This window comes from Homo sapiens, chromosome 18 (assembly GCF_000001405.40).
Source record: "Homo sapiens chromosome 18, GRCh38.p14 Primary Assembly".
NCBI lineage: Eukaryota > Metazoa > Chordata > Mammalia > Primates > Hominidae > Homo > Homo sapiens.
The window spans coordinates 78,537,961-78,555,619 of record NC_000018.10 but is presented as its reverse complement, the minus strand read 5'-3'; the positions used below and the strand labels follow the sequence as shown (position 1 = coordinate 78,555,619).

At 44.6% G+C, this 17,659-nt stretch overlaps 1 annotated feature.

The window, feature by feature from the left end:
- Positions 12,281-13,480: an enhancer, noted in NCBI's record as "CDK7 strongly-dependent group 2 enhancer chr18:76302140-76303339 (GRCh37/hg19 assembly coordinates)". NCBI's record gives its function as "activates an origin of replication core promoter dependent on BRD2, BRD4, P300/CBP, MED14 and CDK7 cofactors, with strong dependence on CDK7, by STARR-seq in HCT116 cells {active_cell/tissue: HCT116}" and the evidence as "EXISTENCE:reporter gene assay evidence [ECO:0000049][PMID:35650434]".

The window sequence follows — 17,659 nt, the reverse complement described above, 5'->3', positions numbered from 1 at the left end:
TGTCACAAGGGCTGGAAACATGCCCGTCGCGAAAAGCCCAAGAATGCCCTTCTTACTCAGGGGCCATCTGTTAGGCTTCTAAGATGGCTCTTGCTTCAGTCTCACTTGACAAATCCCAAATCCACTCCTGATAAAGTCTTTCATCAAACAGCAGGAGGCATTCCTCAGCCTGATAAATGTAGCCCATGGAACCCCGAGGCACAGGGGTGGGGTGCGATGTTCCTGCTGGGTGGTTGCCTCCAGGCGCGTGCACAGGTATGTGGCAGCACATCTGTGTGTGTGCGTGTTACGCCCCATGATTGTAGTGATGCCACTGGCTTTCATTCAGCTCTGCATGGCTCATTCCAGCCCTTTCTCCCCAATTCTCTATAACCTCCCACTCTGTCTGGAAGATGCTAACACCCACCATCACTGTCCATGCACTTAGCTGCTTGGTTCCTCTGCGTGTGTAGCGTGGTTTCAGAGTTCTTAGTCCACACCTCCCCTGGAAACAACATTATCAGCCAGAGAACAGTTCTTAGGCCCGGTCTTTGTGCCTCATGGATCCCACCTGTTTCCAAAGTCACTTATTCAGCATGCTGCACCCACTCGCCCCTGCAGGGAGGCTGCTTCACACCCTGGGATACAATCACAATTCTTTTGTCACAGGCTGCATTCCATGCTGGAATCTCCCCACCTCCCAAATGATGTTTAAAATATTTTCACTGATGTGTTGTAGTTATGCAGATTTTCACTGATGTGTTGTAGTTGTGCAGATTTTGCATATTTTGGCATACGGCTGATGTTTTTATCCTTGTGTACAATGTGTACTGTTTAAATCATGGCAATTGGGATATTCATCACCTTGTTTATCTTTCGTTTGTGTTGGGAAAATTACAGTTTTTCTTTTCTAGTTATTTTGAAATATACAATAAATTATTGTTAACTGTAATTTCTCTACTGTACTATTGAATACTGAAACTTATTATTTTTACCTAAGTGTATGTTTCCATTAACTAACCATTCTCTATCTCTCTTCTCCACTTCTCAGCCCCTGCACCATCATTCTACTCTCTATGTCCATGAGATCCACGTTTCTAGCTCCCCCATATGGGCGAGAACATGAGATATTTATTTTTCTATGTCTGGCTTCCAAATGATTTTTTAAAAACTTTGCATACACTTGGGTTTATTCTTTGTGCTATAAAGTTTAATGGGTTTTGACAAACACAACATATCATGTATTCACCATTATAGAAGTGTACTGAATAGTTTCATCACCCTGAAATATCAGCTGTGCTTCACCGAGCCCTCTCCCCCTACAACCACTGGTTTGTTCACTGTCTCTATCATTTTCTCTTTTCCAGAATGCCACACAAATGGAATCATATTGTGTGTTGGCTGTTCACACTGGCTTGTTTCACTTAGCAATATGCATTTAAGATTCATCTATGTCTTTGGTGGCTTAATATCACATTCTATTTTTTTAAAAAAAGGAGATGTAAAAAACCTACTGTAAAAGTGTTCAATTTAAAGTACAATTCAGTAGTTTTTAGTACATGTGCAACTATCATTGCTAACTAATTACAGAGCATTTATGACTGAATAATATTCCATTGTACAGATACGCCATGGTTTGTCTGTCCCTTCACGTGGGGAAGGACAGTTTGGTTGTTTTCCATTCCTGACAATTATTTTAACAGCAGCTCCAAACATCCTTCTGCAGGCTTTGTGTACACATAGGTTTTCAAATCAGGTGACTGAATGCCAAGGAGTGCAGTTGCTGGATCACAGGCTAAGACTGTGTTTGGCTTTGTAAGAAATCGCCAAGCTGTCCTCCAAAGTGGCCGTGCCATCTTGCTTTCCCACCCATGTGGGTCACCAGCGTTCCATATTCTTGTCAATTTTTTCAGTTTTAGACATTTTAATAGGCATGTAGTAATGTCTCTTGTTTTAATTCCCACAAATGGAAAATGATGTTGAGCATCTTTTCATATCTACTTGCTTTCTGTGTATTTTCTTTGGTGAAGTATCTGGCTGGATCTTTTGTTGGTTTTTAAATTAGATTTTTTAAAAGTGTTTAGTTTTATGAGTTGTTTGCATATTTTGGATACAAGTCCTCTACCACATAGGTGTTTTGCAAATATTTTCTTCTTGTTTTTGTTGTTTTTTTCTCTTAACAATATATCTGCATAGTAATCTCTTTCATATAGTAGAAATTTTAAATGTTAATAAAGTGTAGTTTAACAATTTTTTTTCATGGATAGTGTACCTTCCTGAAAACTCATCACCAACCCTAAGGTCGTGTACACTTTTGCTATGTTTTCTTCCAGAAGTTTTATAATTGTTCATTTTACGTTTTGAGTTAATTAAATTAAATTAATTAATTTATTTATTGAGATGGAGTTTCGCTCTTGTTGGCCAGGCTGGAGTGCAATGGCACGATCTGACTCACTGCAACCTCTGCCTCCTGGGTTCAAGCAATTCTCCTGCCTCAGCCTCCTGAGTAGCTGGGATTACAGGCATGTGCCACCATGCCCAGCTAATTTTGTATTTTTAGTAGAGATGGGGTTTCACCATGTTGTTCAGGCTCGTCTCAAACTCCTGACCTCAAGTGATCCACTTGTCTTGGTCTCCCAAAGTGCTGGGATTACAGGCATGAGCCACCAGGCCTGGCCTCATTTTGAGTTAATTTTAATGTAAGGTGGAAGTTCTGGGTCTAGGTTCATTTCCTTTTTTTTGCATATGGATGTCCAAAATGGAATTGCCTTTGTGCCTTTGTCAAAAGTCAGTTGACTGTCTTTGTGTATGCTTCCTTCTGCTGTGTCTGTTTTGTTCCATGGATCTATGTCTTTTCTGTGGCCAATACCTCACTGGCTTGATTTCTGTAGCTTTAGAGTAAGGTAGTGAGAGTCATCCAACTCTTTCATCTTTAATATTCTGTAGTCTAGCCTTGGTCTTTTGCCTTTCCATTTAAACTTCAGCTATCAGTTGCTAATATTGGCAAAATAGCTTTCCGAGATTCTGATTGGGATTGTGTTAGATCCATAGATCAACTTGAGAATTCACACCTTGACAATATTGAGTTTTCCAATGCAAGGACAGAGAATGTCTCTATACTTATTTAAATATTTTATTTCTTTCATTATTGTGTTTTCCTAAAACACAGATGCTGCATATATTTTGTATGTTATTTTTTGTGCTATTATGAATGGTATTGTTTTTATAGTTTCAATTCCCAATTGTCTTTTGCTGATATATATGAGAAAATGAACTTTTGTATTTTAACCTTGCATTTTGTGACTGCACTATTATTGCTTATTATTTTTTAATTATTTGGGATTATCTATTAATACATAAACACCAATGCCATCTGTGAATAAAGAGAGTTTGATTTTTCATTTCAAATCTATGCCTTTTATTTTTTTTCTTGTCTTTTTTTGCACTAGTTAGGCCTTCTACTACGATCCTGAATGGGAGTGCTGGGGGACATGCTTGATTTGTTCTCAGCCTTAGAAGAAAGCATCCAGTCCTCACCATTAGGAGTCATGTCAACTGTAGGAGATTTGGGTAGATATTTTCTATTAAGTTAGAGGAGCTCCCTCTATTCCTAGTTTTCTAAGAGTTTTTATCTTGAATGTGCATTGACATTCGCTGTACGTTTTTTCTGCATCAATTGATGTGACCATATGCACTAACTTTACTTCCTACCGGGCAGTATCACCTGCCATCTGACATTCACTAGTTGCAGCTCTGAACTGTAGAGTTCGGCAGCCTATAGGCAACTAGACTTTTCTGAAAGTCTCAGTACCCAACAGAATTTAATTTAGATGCTTGTGGTCTATTGAGGCTAGCTCCGTACTAATGTTATATCTGCTACCAGTGGGAGTTTTACCAATGAAACGCTAGTATCTGCCACTTTCTAAACTACATCTCAATGAAAATGTTGCCTCTGTTGCGTTCGCTACATGCTTACACTCGTGAATCCCAGAGGTTGAGGTTACAGTCAGTAGTTTACACCACTGGTATTACAGCTCTGAGCAAATATAGCTTTATGTCTACATTGCCACACATTTACATCTATGATATTATATTACTTAGAGAAACTGCCATCCATCTGCATGTGTGATAATGCTCCATAATTTTTGATTAGTCAAAGGAGCTTTATTCCTCACAAATGGAAAAGAAGGAGAAAATATAACAGCTTTGTCAGTATGTTAAGTAGCTTACCTTTCCTCCTATATTTTCCCGCTTTCTTTTGTCCCCTGCAAACAACATCTGTTCACTATATTTTTGGTGTTTCTCACAAATAGAAATGAATAATTCAGCTTGACAGTGCAGTAGTCAAATGACACCTTTAGGCACTATTTACATCCAGTAAATAATTCTTTTTGCAAGGTAGATGGTGGAGACAGACCAGCAACTCCGAGGGTCCAGAAATGACTTATGGGTTTCCTAGCAGACTAGCTCCTGGGGCTAATTGTGACACATGGGAGGGTAAGAGCCTGGTTAGTTCTGTAGAGCTGACTTCAGTTCTCAGGGAATTTGAACAGTGATCTGATTGTTTCTTGAAATATGCACTTGTTGGTGACAGCCACATGTTTATTTGTTTTTCTACTCAATCCCTGAGAACATTAGAAACAATATATATTTAAATAGTTCCCAGCAGATAGATATTTAAAAAATATTACTAGAATTGTAATCATATGAGAAGTTCTGTAAAGAATTAAGTTCACATGATATCAAGACACATCAAACAATATTCCATTTCTATCTATTCTTCTCCAATCTTTTCTTTCATGTTATTATTTAATACAGAGTATAGGACTAATAGTAGTCAATAAATATTGTTTATTGATTGGTGACTCATTCTGTATCTTCATTTGCAAGTGGAGTTTTAAGAACATATCTCCATAAATATTCATGTAATTTCAAAGGGTATTTTCAAAGTTTTCATATTCTGGTGAGAGAGAAGTACTGGTAATGTAAACAAGTACAGTCTTTCTTGTTTTAAATTAAGTGAACTGCAAAGTTTCTGGTGTAATTTAAGTTTCCTGAAATAGTAAAAACAGCTTCCAAAGGAGCCTGAGGAGATAAAATATTATTGAAGAACAGAGAATTTAGGAGTCCTCATCCGTATTCCTCAGTTGTTGGAATTTCATGAAGAAGTAAAATTAAAAGATTGATATAAATTCATCAACTTTTAAAATCTGTTTAATTGGAAACAGTTGATACACACTCAAAACACAGAATGTGATCTATTATCACCATCTTTTGAAGAAAGACCCAACATTTAAAGATTTTTGTTCTTATGTTTCTTATTTTGCTGCAGACCAGTGAAAACCCGGTCACAGACTGTCTGCTGCCTCTCAGAACTAGCACAGCCCGCTCGCTTGCAGGTCTCCATGAGTGCGAGGGGAACAAGACCTTTGTGTGCTGAGGGCCTGCTGTGCAGGGGACTTTGTGGCATGTGTGTCTGCGTGTGTGTTTGTGGGGTGTGTGTAGAATGTTAATGTGTGTGGTGCATGTGTCTGTGTGTGTGTAGTGTGTCTCTGTGGATAGTGTGATAGCGTGTGCGTCTATGTCTGTGTGTATGGGTGTGTATGTAGCATGCACGGTGTGTGAATGGGAGTCCCTGTGTTTCTGTGTTTGTATAGTGTGTGAGTGTGTCTTTGTGTGTCTCTGTTCATATATGTACATGTGTCTATGTCTTTCTGTGTGTTTAGTGTGTGTGTCTCTGTGTGTTCAAAACAGTGTGTATATAATGTGTATATATGTGTATCTGTGTATGTACAGTGTGTGTAGTGTGTGTCTCTGTATAGTGTGTGAGTGTATATAGTGTGTGTGTAGTATGTGTAAGTGTAGTGTGTGTTTGTGTATAGTATTTGTGAGTGTATGTGTGTGCACATGTCTATAGATGTGAGGTGTGTGAGTGTGTGTTGTGGGTGTGTGTGTCTTTGTGTGTGTATAGTGTGTCTCTGTATGGTGTGCATACTGTGTATGAGTGTGTGACTGTGTATAGCATGTGTAGTGTGTGTGCCTCTGTATGTGTAGTGTGTGTGTCTGTGTGTAGCATGTGCAGTGTGTGTGTCCATGTATGCCGTCTATGTGTGTGAGGGTGTATACTGAGTATGTGTAGTGTGAGTATGTCTGTGTATGGTGTGTGTGCATGTGTGCATGTGTATAGTATGTGAGGTGTGTATGTTTATCTTGTGTGTCTATGTATAGTGTGTGTATCTGTGTGTATATTTGTGCAAGTAGTGTGTGCTGTGTGTGCATGTGTATAGTGTGAGTGTGTCTGGTATGTCTGTGTATAGTGTGTGTGTGTGACTGTGTATACTATGTGTGTGTTTGTATGGTGTGCAGGTGTAGGTGTGAGGGGTGTGTGTGTACGGTATGTGTCTCTGTACAGTGTGTGAATGCATACAATGTGTGTGGTATCTGTGAGTGTGTCTCCATGTGTACTGTTTGGGAGTGTGTGAGGGTTACAGTGAGTGTGTAGTGTGTGCGAGTGTGTCTGTGTATGGTGTAACATGTTATTTCCGATGCAAGCACTGTTGAAAGAGGTCCCACGGAGCCTGTAAGGCCTGGCCCAGGCCACTCCACCTGCATAACACGCGCATGTGTGGGTGCATAGTGTGAGTGTGTTTGTTTGTAGTGTGTATAGCAGCCAGCATGTTATGGTGTGTGTCTGTGTGTGTGCAGTGTGTACAGTGTATGTCTGTGTCTGTATGCAGTGTATGTACAGCGTGTAGTGTGTACATGTGTGCAGCATGTGCTGTGTATCTGTGTGGTGTGTGTATAGTGTGTCTGCATGTGTGCTGTGTGTGTTTGCGTGTGTATGCCGTGTGTGTATGGTGTGTGTTTGTGTGCATGTGTGTACAGTGTGTGTGCGTGTGTGCAGTGTGTGTAGTATGTACATGTGTGCAGCTGGTGCCGTGTGTGTAGTGTGTGTGTACAGTGTGTGTGCATGTGTGCAGTTGTGTACAGTGTGTATGTGTGTAGTGTGTACGTGTGTGCAGCATGTGTGGCCCTCTCAGGACCCCTGTCCAGTGAGAACACCGTCTTTGAGGCCCTCGTCCTCCGTGGGCCGGTCATCCCGGAGCACCTGGGCCTGTGCTCAATGGGGTTCGGGCTCAGGACGCGCGAGTTACGCTCGGTGCGTGCAGATGGAGCAGCCTGGCGGGACCTGGGGAGGCCCCATCGAGCTCCTTCCACAGTGCTTGCTTTGGAAATAACATCCCAAGGGGTCTGGGAGGAAACGGCTGCAAAGGCCACGTCTATGGGTCACGGATTTGGGGGAATTTTGGTTGGGAAGCACACGGCAGGGCGAGGGCAGGAACTCTGGCGTGGGCGGGACTGACCGCACAGCACCCAGGGCCTTGGGGCCCCGCTATGAGTTCGCCGGTCGGGACCAGGGTTCCTCCATGCTGGGGGACTGGAGCGGACTGGAGGTGGCTCCCACCCGAGGCTGACGGACCTGGAGAAACCCAATGTGTGTTTGGGGTCAGGGCGTGGTCAAGGCCCGGAAGGCAGTTCTGGAGACCAGTGGAGAGGCCAGAGGGCCCCGGGGAGAGGCCTGGGCAGAGCTGGGGCCCCCGGCCGGGCTGGAAGGTGAAGCTGGGGGACATTCTCCTAAGGATGCGGATACCACAAGGGGTCAGGAGCCCACTCAGGGGCCCCGCTGCGCGATGGTGCAACGGGACCTGCACTCAGGACCCCCACACCAGGGGCCCGGGGCCGTGCTCTGCCCCACACCCAAAGATCCTGCGTCCACGGACCGCTTTCCTCTCCTCCTTCCCCTCGTCTTCATTTGCATGGAGTCTCTTGGGAGGGCGTAAATATCACAGTGACTTGGTCTCTTTAGGTCTAATTCATGTAAACCATAATTAAAGATGGGTTCCCACCTGGCTCGCATCGACATGCAGGTTGCCTTAATTCTTAATTTCCTGACATTTATTTGCCCCTGCTTGACTGCAACGGGACCTGAACCAAGAATCTGATGATGCGTGGAACGCCAGGAGAAGCTCGAATCCCTGCCTGGTAGAGGCTGGTTTTAATCGCTGCCTGAGATCAGCGACAAGGTTGAAAATATTATCAAGCTAAACTTTTCAGTCTAGTTCCACTTCCTCCCAAAAGGATTGCTGTATGAAATTAATAGGATTACAGATAATCCCTGAAAGAGGCAGGATTAACACTGAACATAAAACCAACTGATATCAATTTCCCTAACACTTGAAAAATCAGCGTCTTGTAGGGGAGGCTGCGGGCTGCCCGGAGACCCTGCTGGGGAGAACACGGATTTCATCCCGTTGACAGGCACATTTCCTCCTCCAAAAGTCAGGAAATGTTACGACGGAGACTGTCGCTCAAAACCCTCTGCCGGTTTAGAAATGCGTTGCTGTTCTTTCCCCGCAATACTCGCAGTTTAATAAGGAGCCCTTATGTGTACACTCAAGGTTGCTTTTAGCTGTTGAAGAATTAGGAAATTAGGGTTCCATCGGGTAATTTTTGGAAGAAAAGAAATATTTCCTATGCAAGTGGTCTGTGTAAAATTTGTTGCTATTTCATTAAAACATTCTGTTTTGTGTCCTTCCTCCCACTCTCCTCTCTTCCGCTGCCCAAGCCCTCTCTCTATCTCTCTCTCCCTCCCTCCTCCTCCCCCTTCCTCCCCCCTCCACCCTCTCCTCCCCCCTCCACCCTCTCCTCCCCCCTCCACCCTCTCCTCCCCCATCCACCCTATCCTCCTGCTTCTCTTCCTCCTCCTCTTCCTTCTTTTTTCTTCTTTCTTCTCCTCCCACCCACCTTTCTCATTCTTTATCCCTTCAATAACTTGCAAACATTTCTCCTCATTTCCAACTAGGGTTTGGAAAGACAGTTCAGGCCTTCAAATACATGAAATACCTAAGAGTAGTGGGAAGGCGGCTGTGACGCTCTCCCGGTCCGCAGGTTCACTCACTTTGCCATTTTCGGGGGTGGAGGATGTGGATGATGGTGCATATGTGTTCCGGTGCTGAGTACCCATTTGAATGCAGAAGCAGAGAGATATTCACTTATTATCAGTTTTCTGCATTACTTCATTTCATGACGTTAAAACAATTGCTGCCAAGGGGCTCAGCTGTCCACAACCAAGAGATTGAGAGCTCCAGTGATAGAAGGTAGCAATGTTATTCAGAGGAACACACTACGTCATTTTCTGACTTAGAGAAAAAGGCGACTCACAGGAGACTCAGAGAAGAGGGAGTTCTTCAAAAGTTAGAAACATGAGTGAAAAACAGAGTTACTAAAACAAACAGATAAGCTTATGATGGGTGCAGTAGGAGCTCCATGAAGTTGTTAATTACTTCTTAAGAAAGCTACTCGCATCTCCCGGGTGTAAAGTTTCCTCTCTTAAACGCATCATAACATTAATCAACAATGTGTTTTCTATGACTCTCCATGAGAGCAAAACAAATCAGTGTGGTTAATCTGCACTTCTGTTGTGGGGTCTCCCAACCCTCCGTCTGGTGTGAAAACACATAGAGACACATGCACTGGTTCTCTGCTGGCTACATTGTTTCTCCTCTTCACAGTTCAAGATCCTAGCTCTTCGTGGAAGCATTGGAGTGACACCATACTTACAAATATTTCTAAGCTTCGGTTCTTGAGGCCAATGAATAGATTAACAAAAAATATGCATTACCTCTTCAACTCTGAAGCTATGGTCCTATTGTAAAAAAGAAATACGTGAAAACACATACAGCTTTCTGAGTAGCCTGTTTTAGTTTTTCAGTTTGAAATTTTTTGGAAGACAGTACACTAAACAGAGATCTTAAATGACCATTTGTAGAAACATTTAGATGTGCAAAAAATCAAATCGAACAACTTTTAATAATACTTTACTGCCAGAGGAAAATAAAATTGGAGTTGCTACTATAAAATAAAAAGCAATCAACAACTTTCGGGGGCTGTTTCTTTTCTTTTCTTTTCCTTTTTTTTTTTTTTTTTAACAGGATCCTGCTCTGTCACCCAGGCTGGAGGGCTGGAGTACAGTGGTGTGATTGCAGCTCACTGCAGCCTCAATCTCCCAGCCTCATGTGATCCTTCCAGCCAGCCTCCTGAGTAGCTGGGACTACAGGTGCATGCCACCACGCCTGGCTAATTTTTTGTTTTTTTTGCAGAGATGGGGTCTCACTGTGTTGCCCAGGCTGGTCTCAAATTCCTGAACTCAAGATATCCTCCTGCCTCAGCTTTCCACCGTGCTAGAGTTCCAGGTCTTAGCTGCTTCTTAAGGACCTATCTCAAATGATGCAAAGCAGAGGAAAAAAATTCAATGTTTCTAGAAGGAAAACAAGAATAACTGTCTATTATTTGTGAAAGTAATAAGTGGAACTATTAGGGCTAGGAAATATGGCCCTTGATCCTCAAAGCCTGACCATGGTCAATGCATTAAGGTATAAAGCTCTATTTGCAAGAGGGGATTGGGGGGAAACTTGATCACTAACAATAAGACTTAATTCTTGTTCAGTAACAGTTATTTCATAAGGAGATGATAAGGTCATAAAAAATTGAGAATTCAATAAACTTTAAGCAGCCTTGTTAATATAAATTATTTATATTTTATTCAAATAAACAGTATTGAAGCTTCTACCTGAAAATGTAATTCTTAAATTTTAAGATACTCTGGATTTAACAAAAACCAAAGGACAGGCTCTGGTAAAATAAGAGCTACCTTCCTTTAACATGTTTCTTTACCCAACTTACTCCAGGATCCACGTGTCTCCTAGAGCCCTTCTAGAATGTTCCATCCAGACTAGACGTGAAAAGCATGATGTTGAGTAGTGGCTGCAATTCACCGCGTGTTCAGTCTCGATGATGCTCTTTCAGGCATTATAAAACGACTCAGAGAATTGATGTGTTCAATCTCCACCACACTCTCCCAGGTGGTATAAAGCAACTCAGAGAACTCACGTGTTCAGTCTCCACGACGCTGTCCCAGGTGTTATAAAACGACTCAGAGAATTGACTATTCAGTTATAAAATGACTCAGAGAATCGATAATTTTGGTTCATTGTGTTTGGTTATTTAAATTTGTTGCCTCCACATGAAAATTTTTGCCCCTACTTTGCCCCAAACCACTTCTGAGACACATTTAAGTGTCAGTCTCCAGAACAGGAAGAAATCAGCAGCTTCTGTGTCTCTGAAGAAGACACAGGATTCACTTTCGTCTCAGGCCTCATACCCCGCTGTGGGTGGTGTGCTCCAGTGCCAACTTTCTGGAGGACGATTTGGGGGCACATACGAGAAAGGTTTAAAGTGTACAAAATGCCAACCCAGAGATTGCACTTCCAGAAATGTATCCGCAGAAAAGAACCAGACACATACACACTTTTTGCAAATATAGAATTACAAAAGCCTTCTTGTAAACACGTACTGTTGTTTGAAACAAGTAGGAATTAAAAAAAAAAATCCTGGCTTGTCCAATGTAGTGGTTATCAGAACTGATTAACATTGGTGTCACTAAAGTTGGTACACGACCCCACACTGCTAAATGTGACTGGCTTAACAATAAACATAAATTGCCTGAAATGGGAGATTTTTGTGAAGAAATTATGGAGTGGCATGGCACGAATACTGGACAGACACTGAAGACGAAGCTGATGTGTGTCCGTTGACTAAGAGGACATGTAAGGTATGCTGTTAAGGGAAGAGTCGGTTATGGGATAGCAGGTCTGGGACATCAACTGGGTGTAGGGTGTTTGGGCATGGAAATCTGTATCTGGATCTTTCCTGCCATTGCATGCAGGTAGGAACGTATCTGGATGGATAGACGCCAAAATGCTCACGGTGTCACAGTACATGTCGCTGGGGGTACACAGGAATTTTTAAAATACTTTTCTATGTGTTTGGTTTTTATCCCTCATTTGTAAATGTAACAATGAAGATGATTTCATTTAAAATATTTTCCTTTTTCTTAAGGAGTATGAGGGCAGGACCTTGTCATATTCACGATTTCTGCCTCAATATTCATTGTGGTGGGGTCACAGAATAGGGCTCAACCCCAGCACTGGTGAGCATGTGGCCTGAGGTCTGGTCTGTCCAGAAGCAGTTGCAATGGAGCAGGTGTTCCTGACCTCATTTATCGCCCGCGCCCTCTTGCCAGCACAGTGGGAAGAACAAGGGAGTAACAAACCCAAACATGCAACGGTTTTGATCTGTTCTTGGCAAGAGCAGTGACGTCAGAATGAAGGTACAGACATGGGGACACAAATTTCATAAAATGTATGTCACTTCACTTTACCTAGCCACAGCATGAGGGCCTAATAAATATTGTAATACATTGGGCTGGGTACATAGAGCAGGTGTTCCTATTCAGAGAGTGGTGTGGCTACTGGCGTGTGTGGGAGAAGGGACATTTCTCACGTGCAGCAGCCACACGCCCAAGCCTGGTCCAAGCCCTGGAAAAACAACCCAGTTTCCATGTTACCATGTGGATGGCCCGGCTCTTACCTGCCTCCAGCCTCCTGCTCTGGTTTCCCACACAGCGATTCTCTGTGAGGTTACCAGGAGCTCAGCTTTGAAGGATCCATTGGGAGCCCATGGAGCTCAGCAGGGTAGGAAATTGCTCGTGTCTGCTACTGAAGGCTCTAAGCTGGAAGGAGGCAGAATCAATTGCAAACATGGTGCTCGTCTTCCAGTGTACAATTTGAAAGTTCAAACAGTTGTCTCTCTCTACCCTGTATTGTAGGAATAAGAAGCTTTGCTGCTGAAGAGAGGAAGAGGAAGAAGGATGTTGAAAAAGAGGTGGTTTGTTGTCAAGGCTTCAAAACTCTTCCCCAAATTTGAAGTGAACTGCAGGTTCCCTTGCTGTGACGTGGCCTCACACCTGCCTCTCTCATTAAATTTTGCAGAACTCCCCAGCAAAACCATTCCTTGCTTGGCTCTGCAGGAGACTGAGGAAGCTATTGCCTGTTGCCAGAGCAGGACCAGCTCCCAATGTTACAGTGTCACCTCTCACATCGCCCAGCCTTATTTTACATGCATTTTTGTCTTCCGAAAACGATTCTTTTAAGATCTGCAGTCACTCAAATGAACAGGCATGAATGCACAGTACAGTTTATCAAAATTGGAAAGCCTTCCAGGGGAACAAGCTTGCTTTTGTAAAGTCAAGCTCAATCTTGAGTAACACTTCCCTGTTCACAAGCCCTGGTTCACAGTGTGCTAAGTCATCTCAGGCATGCCAGGAACCTGCCCTGCCCTCCCGCGGCTCTTGGGGCCCTGCCAGAGAGCTGTGCTGTTGGCACTGTAGGCTCTCTCTGGTGTTTCTAGGGACAAATCTCCATGAATAATAGAGACAAAACACGAAAAGCAAAACAAAAACAACCACCAACCTTGTCATAATTCTGTGTGGCTGTCCATCTTAGTGAATCCCTGTGTCTTGGCACCTGTGATCATTATTTCATTGATCTGTGAAAAGCTTTGATGGAACATTGGCATTTATATTGAGGTAGACGCACCAGATGTGCGCTAACCTTTCAGATTTTCCAGCTGTCTAGTGTCAAAAGCCAATTTCCAAAGGAAAAAAAGATCAACAGTTAACACTATTATTTCAGAGCTCAGTGTCAAAATGTCAAAAGAAAGCAGAAAAGCCTCGGAGAACATGCAGTGTGGGGTTTCCATTTGGAAGCTAAGCAGCCAGTTTCATGCGCTTTCAGAGAAAAACACGTAAAGTTTTGTGTTTTGATGATCAGTTTTACACTTTTTCAGACTTCCCTTTTCTTGCCTTGACGGCTGACTGCAGTCACCCCGGCAAGGAAAAGTTAAAGAGAATCTCAGACACTAATTGCCACCAGGAAGATGGATGTTGAGAAAATATTTGGGGAGAATATTGTCCTGAGTCCTAACCATCCAGGTGCCTCCAACACACTATATTTATGAGCTGGTTGCACATGAAGAATTTCCACTGTGAGGGGCCAGCAGTGGCATTTCCAAAAATTAAAGGGGGTCACCAAATTGGCTGTAGACGTTTGAGCGTCCCTGGTGTCATCCTGGCCCTGGCTGGGCGGACAAAAGCATCTTCCCATAGCTGTGCCGGAGAGGTGAGGCTGCCAGACGAAATACAGGACACTGAATATTGCATGCAGCATTTTATGCTAAAAACTATTCTTTGCTTATGTAAAAATTTAACCAGGCAACCCATGTTTTTATTTACTAAATCTGAAGATTTTAGGCTGAGGACACAGACTTGGACTCAGACCTGCCTTCCAGTGTTGACATTCCTTTCCCAAGCTCTGTGATCCCCATGGAGTCTGGGATGATCTCATTCATATTCCCGCATCTGATGGTATGTTATGGGGTAGAGAGTGTGCATTCAACACGCCCAGTGCAGGGAAGCTCTGAGGACCAGAGCAGCTGTGACTTGTACCCTCCTTAGACTTTCCATCTTTCCAATGGCACCCCTGCATTCCGGGAGGCACGAGGGGGCTGAGTCCTGGAAGGCACACGAGAGAAGGGGTGAGGCAAAGCTCCTGCCTGAAGATGCCCACAGTGGAGGTGAACATCTGTGTCTACGGAGAACGCTGAAGCCACTCTGCTTTTGTCATTTCTTTGCGGGGATTTCTCTAAAATCTGAGATGAAGGCTTTGTTTCCTACACGACAGTGTCTTTCTCAGGCAACTGTCAATTTCTCACGGTGAGAAGGGTTTTGCTGTGTGGTGTGTGGACGTTCCTCACTGGGATCAGTGCTCTGTCCATAGACGTGGGGAAGAGCATCTGGCCTGGAACATGTGTGTTCTTCCCGCAAGGAGTTTCTGAGGAAACGCAGAGACTAGGGCCGTCTGGAGGCCGTGCTGAGCTGCGGGCTGCATTTCCTTCTGCAGGCCCCATGCAGGAAAAGACTCCCATGCTCCCGCAGGCCAGTTTTGAACCTGGTCAGTAGAAAATATTTCCCTTTAAATGGAAAATATTTCCAGAGGCACAGGCAAGACTCAGTCCAAGCATCTTGGGGAGGGACCCCTGCCTCCCCTAGCCCTGGCCCCTCTCTCTGCTCTGAGCATGCACATTCCTTAACCCGCAGCCGTGGGTTCCTTGGAGCTGCCCCAAGCAAGTGCCACAGACTAGTTGACTTAAAACAGCAGGCACTGATTCCCTTGCAGCTCTGGGGGTGGGAAGCCAATACTAAGGCGTGTGCAGGGCCATCATCCCCTCTTGGATGTCTCTCAGGGAGGAGCCTTCCTGCCTGTTCCAGCGTCCCGTGCCCCCGGTGCTCCTGGGCAGTGGCCACGTCACTCCAGCCTCCACCTCCATCTTCAGCGACCATTCTTTGTCCAAAGGACACTGGCCATTGGATTTAGGGTCCACCCTTGTCGAGTACGACTCATCTTACTGTAATTACAGCCACAAAGACCCCTTTTCCAAATAAGTCTACATTCAGTTTCCAGGGCTTAGGACTTGGAGTCGTCTTTTTCGGGGACACGACTTTGGTAAGTACCCCAAGACAATCTGGTACTTACCGCCTGTGCCCAATTGCTCTCTGTGGCTTCCTCGGCATCTGCGTCATCTGTGATGAGCATGAGTGACATTTCTGCGAAGAGGGGGTTGAGTTTACCTGAAGCTCTAGGGTTCTTCTCAAGCAAGAAAACAGAAAGTAAAACCAAAATAAAGCAAAGCAACTGTCTGCATGCTCAGACTTACGTAAAGTTATGAATGAACAATGATTTCATAACTGTCTGGGTTTGCCACATCTGCTAAACATTTCCTGTGGGCCTTTCTCTATTGGTTTGGAAAAAGCTCTCCTTCCTCTCCATTAGCCTGGCTCCATTTGTGTGCATTAGGCTCAGTGGGAAACAAAACCAAACTCAACAAAGCAAAATGACATCTTCAACTGAAACTGGTGGCCCCTGAGGGACCCTTATGAGTCATGAATAAAACAAACCAGGCAGCCGGGCGCGATGGCTCACGCCTGTAATCCCAGCACTTTGGGAGGCTGAGGAGGGTGGGTCACGAGGTCAGGAGTTAGAGACCAGCCTGGCCAATATGGTGAAACCTTGTCTCCAGTAAAAATACAAAAATTAGCCGGGTGTGGTGGCACGCACCTGTAGTCGCAGCTGCTTGGGAGCTGAGGCAGGAGAATCACTTGAACCTGGGAGGCGGAGGTTGCAGTGAGCCGAGATTGCACCATTGCACTCCAGCCTGGGCGATAGAGCAAGACTCCATCTCAAAACAAAAAAACAACAACAAAAAAACCAAAAACAAAAAAAGAAACAAACCAGGCATTAATGATTTGCTGAACCGATACCCTCCCCCAACACTTTTAAGTTTGCCTGGTTTGTGCCTGGGCATCACGAGGGAGGGAGGGCTGGCTGTGGCCAGGGCACGGGGGAGAGGGCAGGCAGTCATGCCGGGCGCCGGCACCCCAGGGTCAGGGCGCAGTGGGCGGTGTGCAGACGTCCCTTGGCCATGGGTCCCATAGCACCTCACACCTCTTCTGCGAAGCTTCACACCCACGCCCTCTTCAGCCTCTGTTCCTTGCTCTCCTGGATTCCCAGAGCTGGCTTGAGTGGAGACGTGCGGTCACTTACTGCTTCTCCTTGGCACTGGTGAATTTTCTTCATAGTTTTTATGCGACAAGGAACTCCTGATTAGGGGAGCTGCCCCTCTGATCTGTTAAGAGTCTTGCTACTAGGTCAGGGTGAGAAATGACTGTAAACATGTGGGAAAACATTTTCATGGTCCATTTTCAAGGCATGGTAGATCTAAATACTGGTAGCCAGTCTGCACATGTGACAAACGGCATGGCTCACGTGCAGCAAAAGTCAGGATAAGCAAACAGGATGCAGAGGAGGGGACAGCCCATAAAACGGAATAAAGTTTCATTATTGGGAAATCAAAACTTAAGCAGGAAAGGGGACCGGGGTATGACCCTGTAAGGGGATATGGAACTTAGGCGACATCCGGGAAGATTGTAACCCCACAGTACTTGATCAGTGGGGAACTGGAGGAGGGACTTGCGTGCTAGGAGATAAATTACCTGCTGTAGCTGCCGCAGGTGTGCCTGCCTACCAGACACGCCATCTTCAAGACCGCCATTAAAGGTCTTCCTTCCGTTGTTCTTTGGGTCTCTGAGTCCATTCTTTGGGTTTGGATGGGTGAATGTGTTTCTCACAAAACATTTTTATTTGAAATAATTACAGATTTTCAGCAAGTTGCAAAGCACACACACAGGAAGGTCTCATGCCTCCTTCACAGCCTCCGATGAAGGGTGACTTTTTTTTGAGACAGAGTCTCGCTCTGTCGCCCAGGCTGGAGTGCAATGTCATGATCTTGGCTCCTTGCAAGCTCCGCCTCCCGGGTTCACGCCATTCTCCTGCCTCAGCCTCCCGAGTAGCTGGGACTACAGGCGCCCGCACCATGCCCGGCTAATTTTTTTTGTATTTTTAGTAGAGACGGGGTTTCACCGTGTTAGCCAGGATGGTCTTGATCTCCTGACCTGGTGATCTGCCCACCTCGGCCTCCCAAAGTGCTGGGATTACAGGCGTGAGCCACCGCACCCGGCCGACGGGTGACATCTTGCAAACCCATAGTGCAGGGTCGCAGGCGGGAGCTTGACATCCATGCATCTGTAAAGTGTGGACAGTTGTCACCAGCTATACATGTGTGTCTCTGTGCGAGTCTGCGTGGGGGTCCATGCAACTTTGTCATG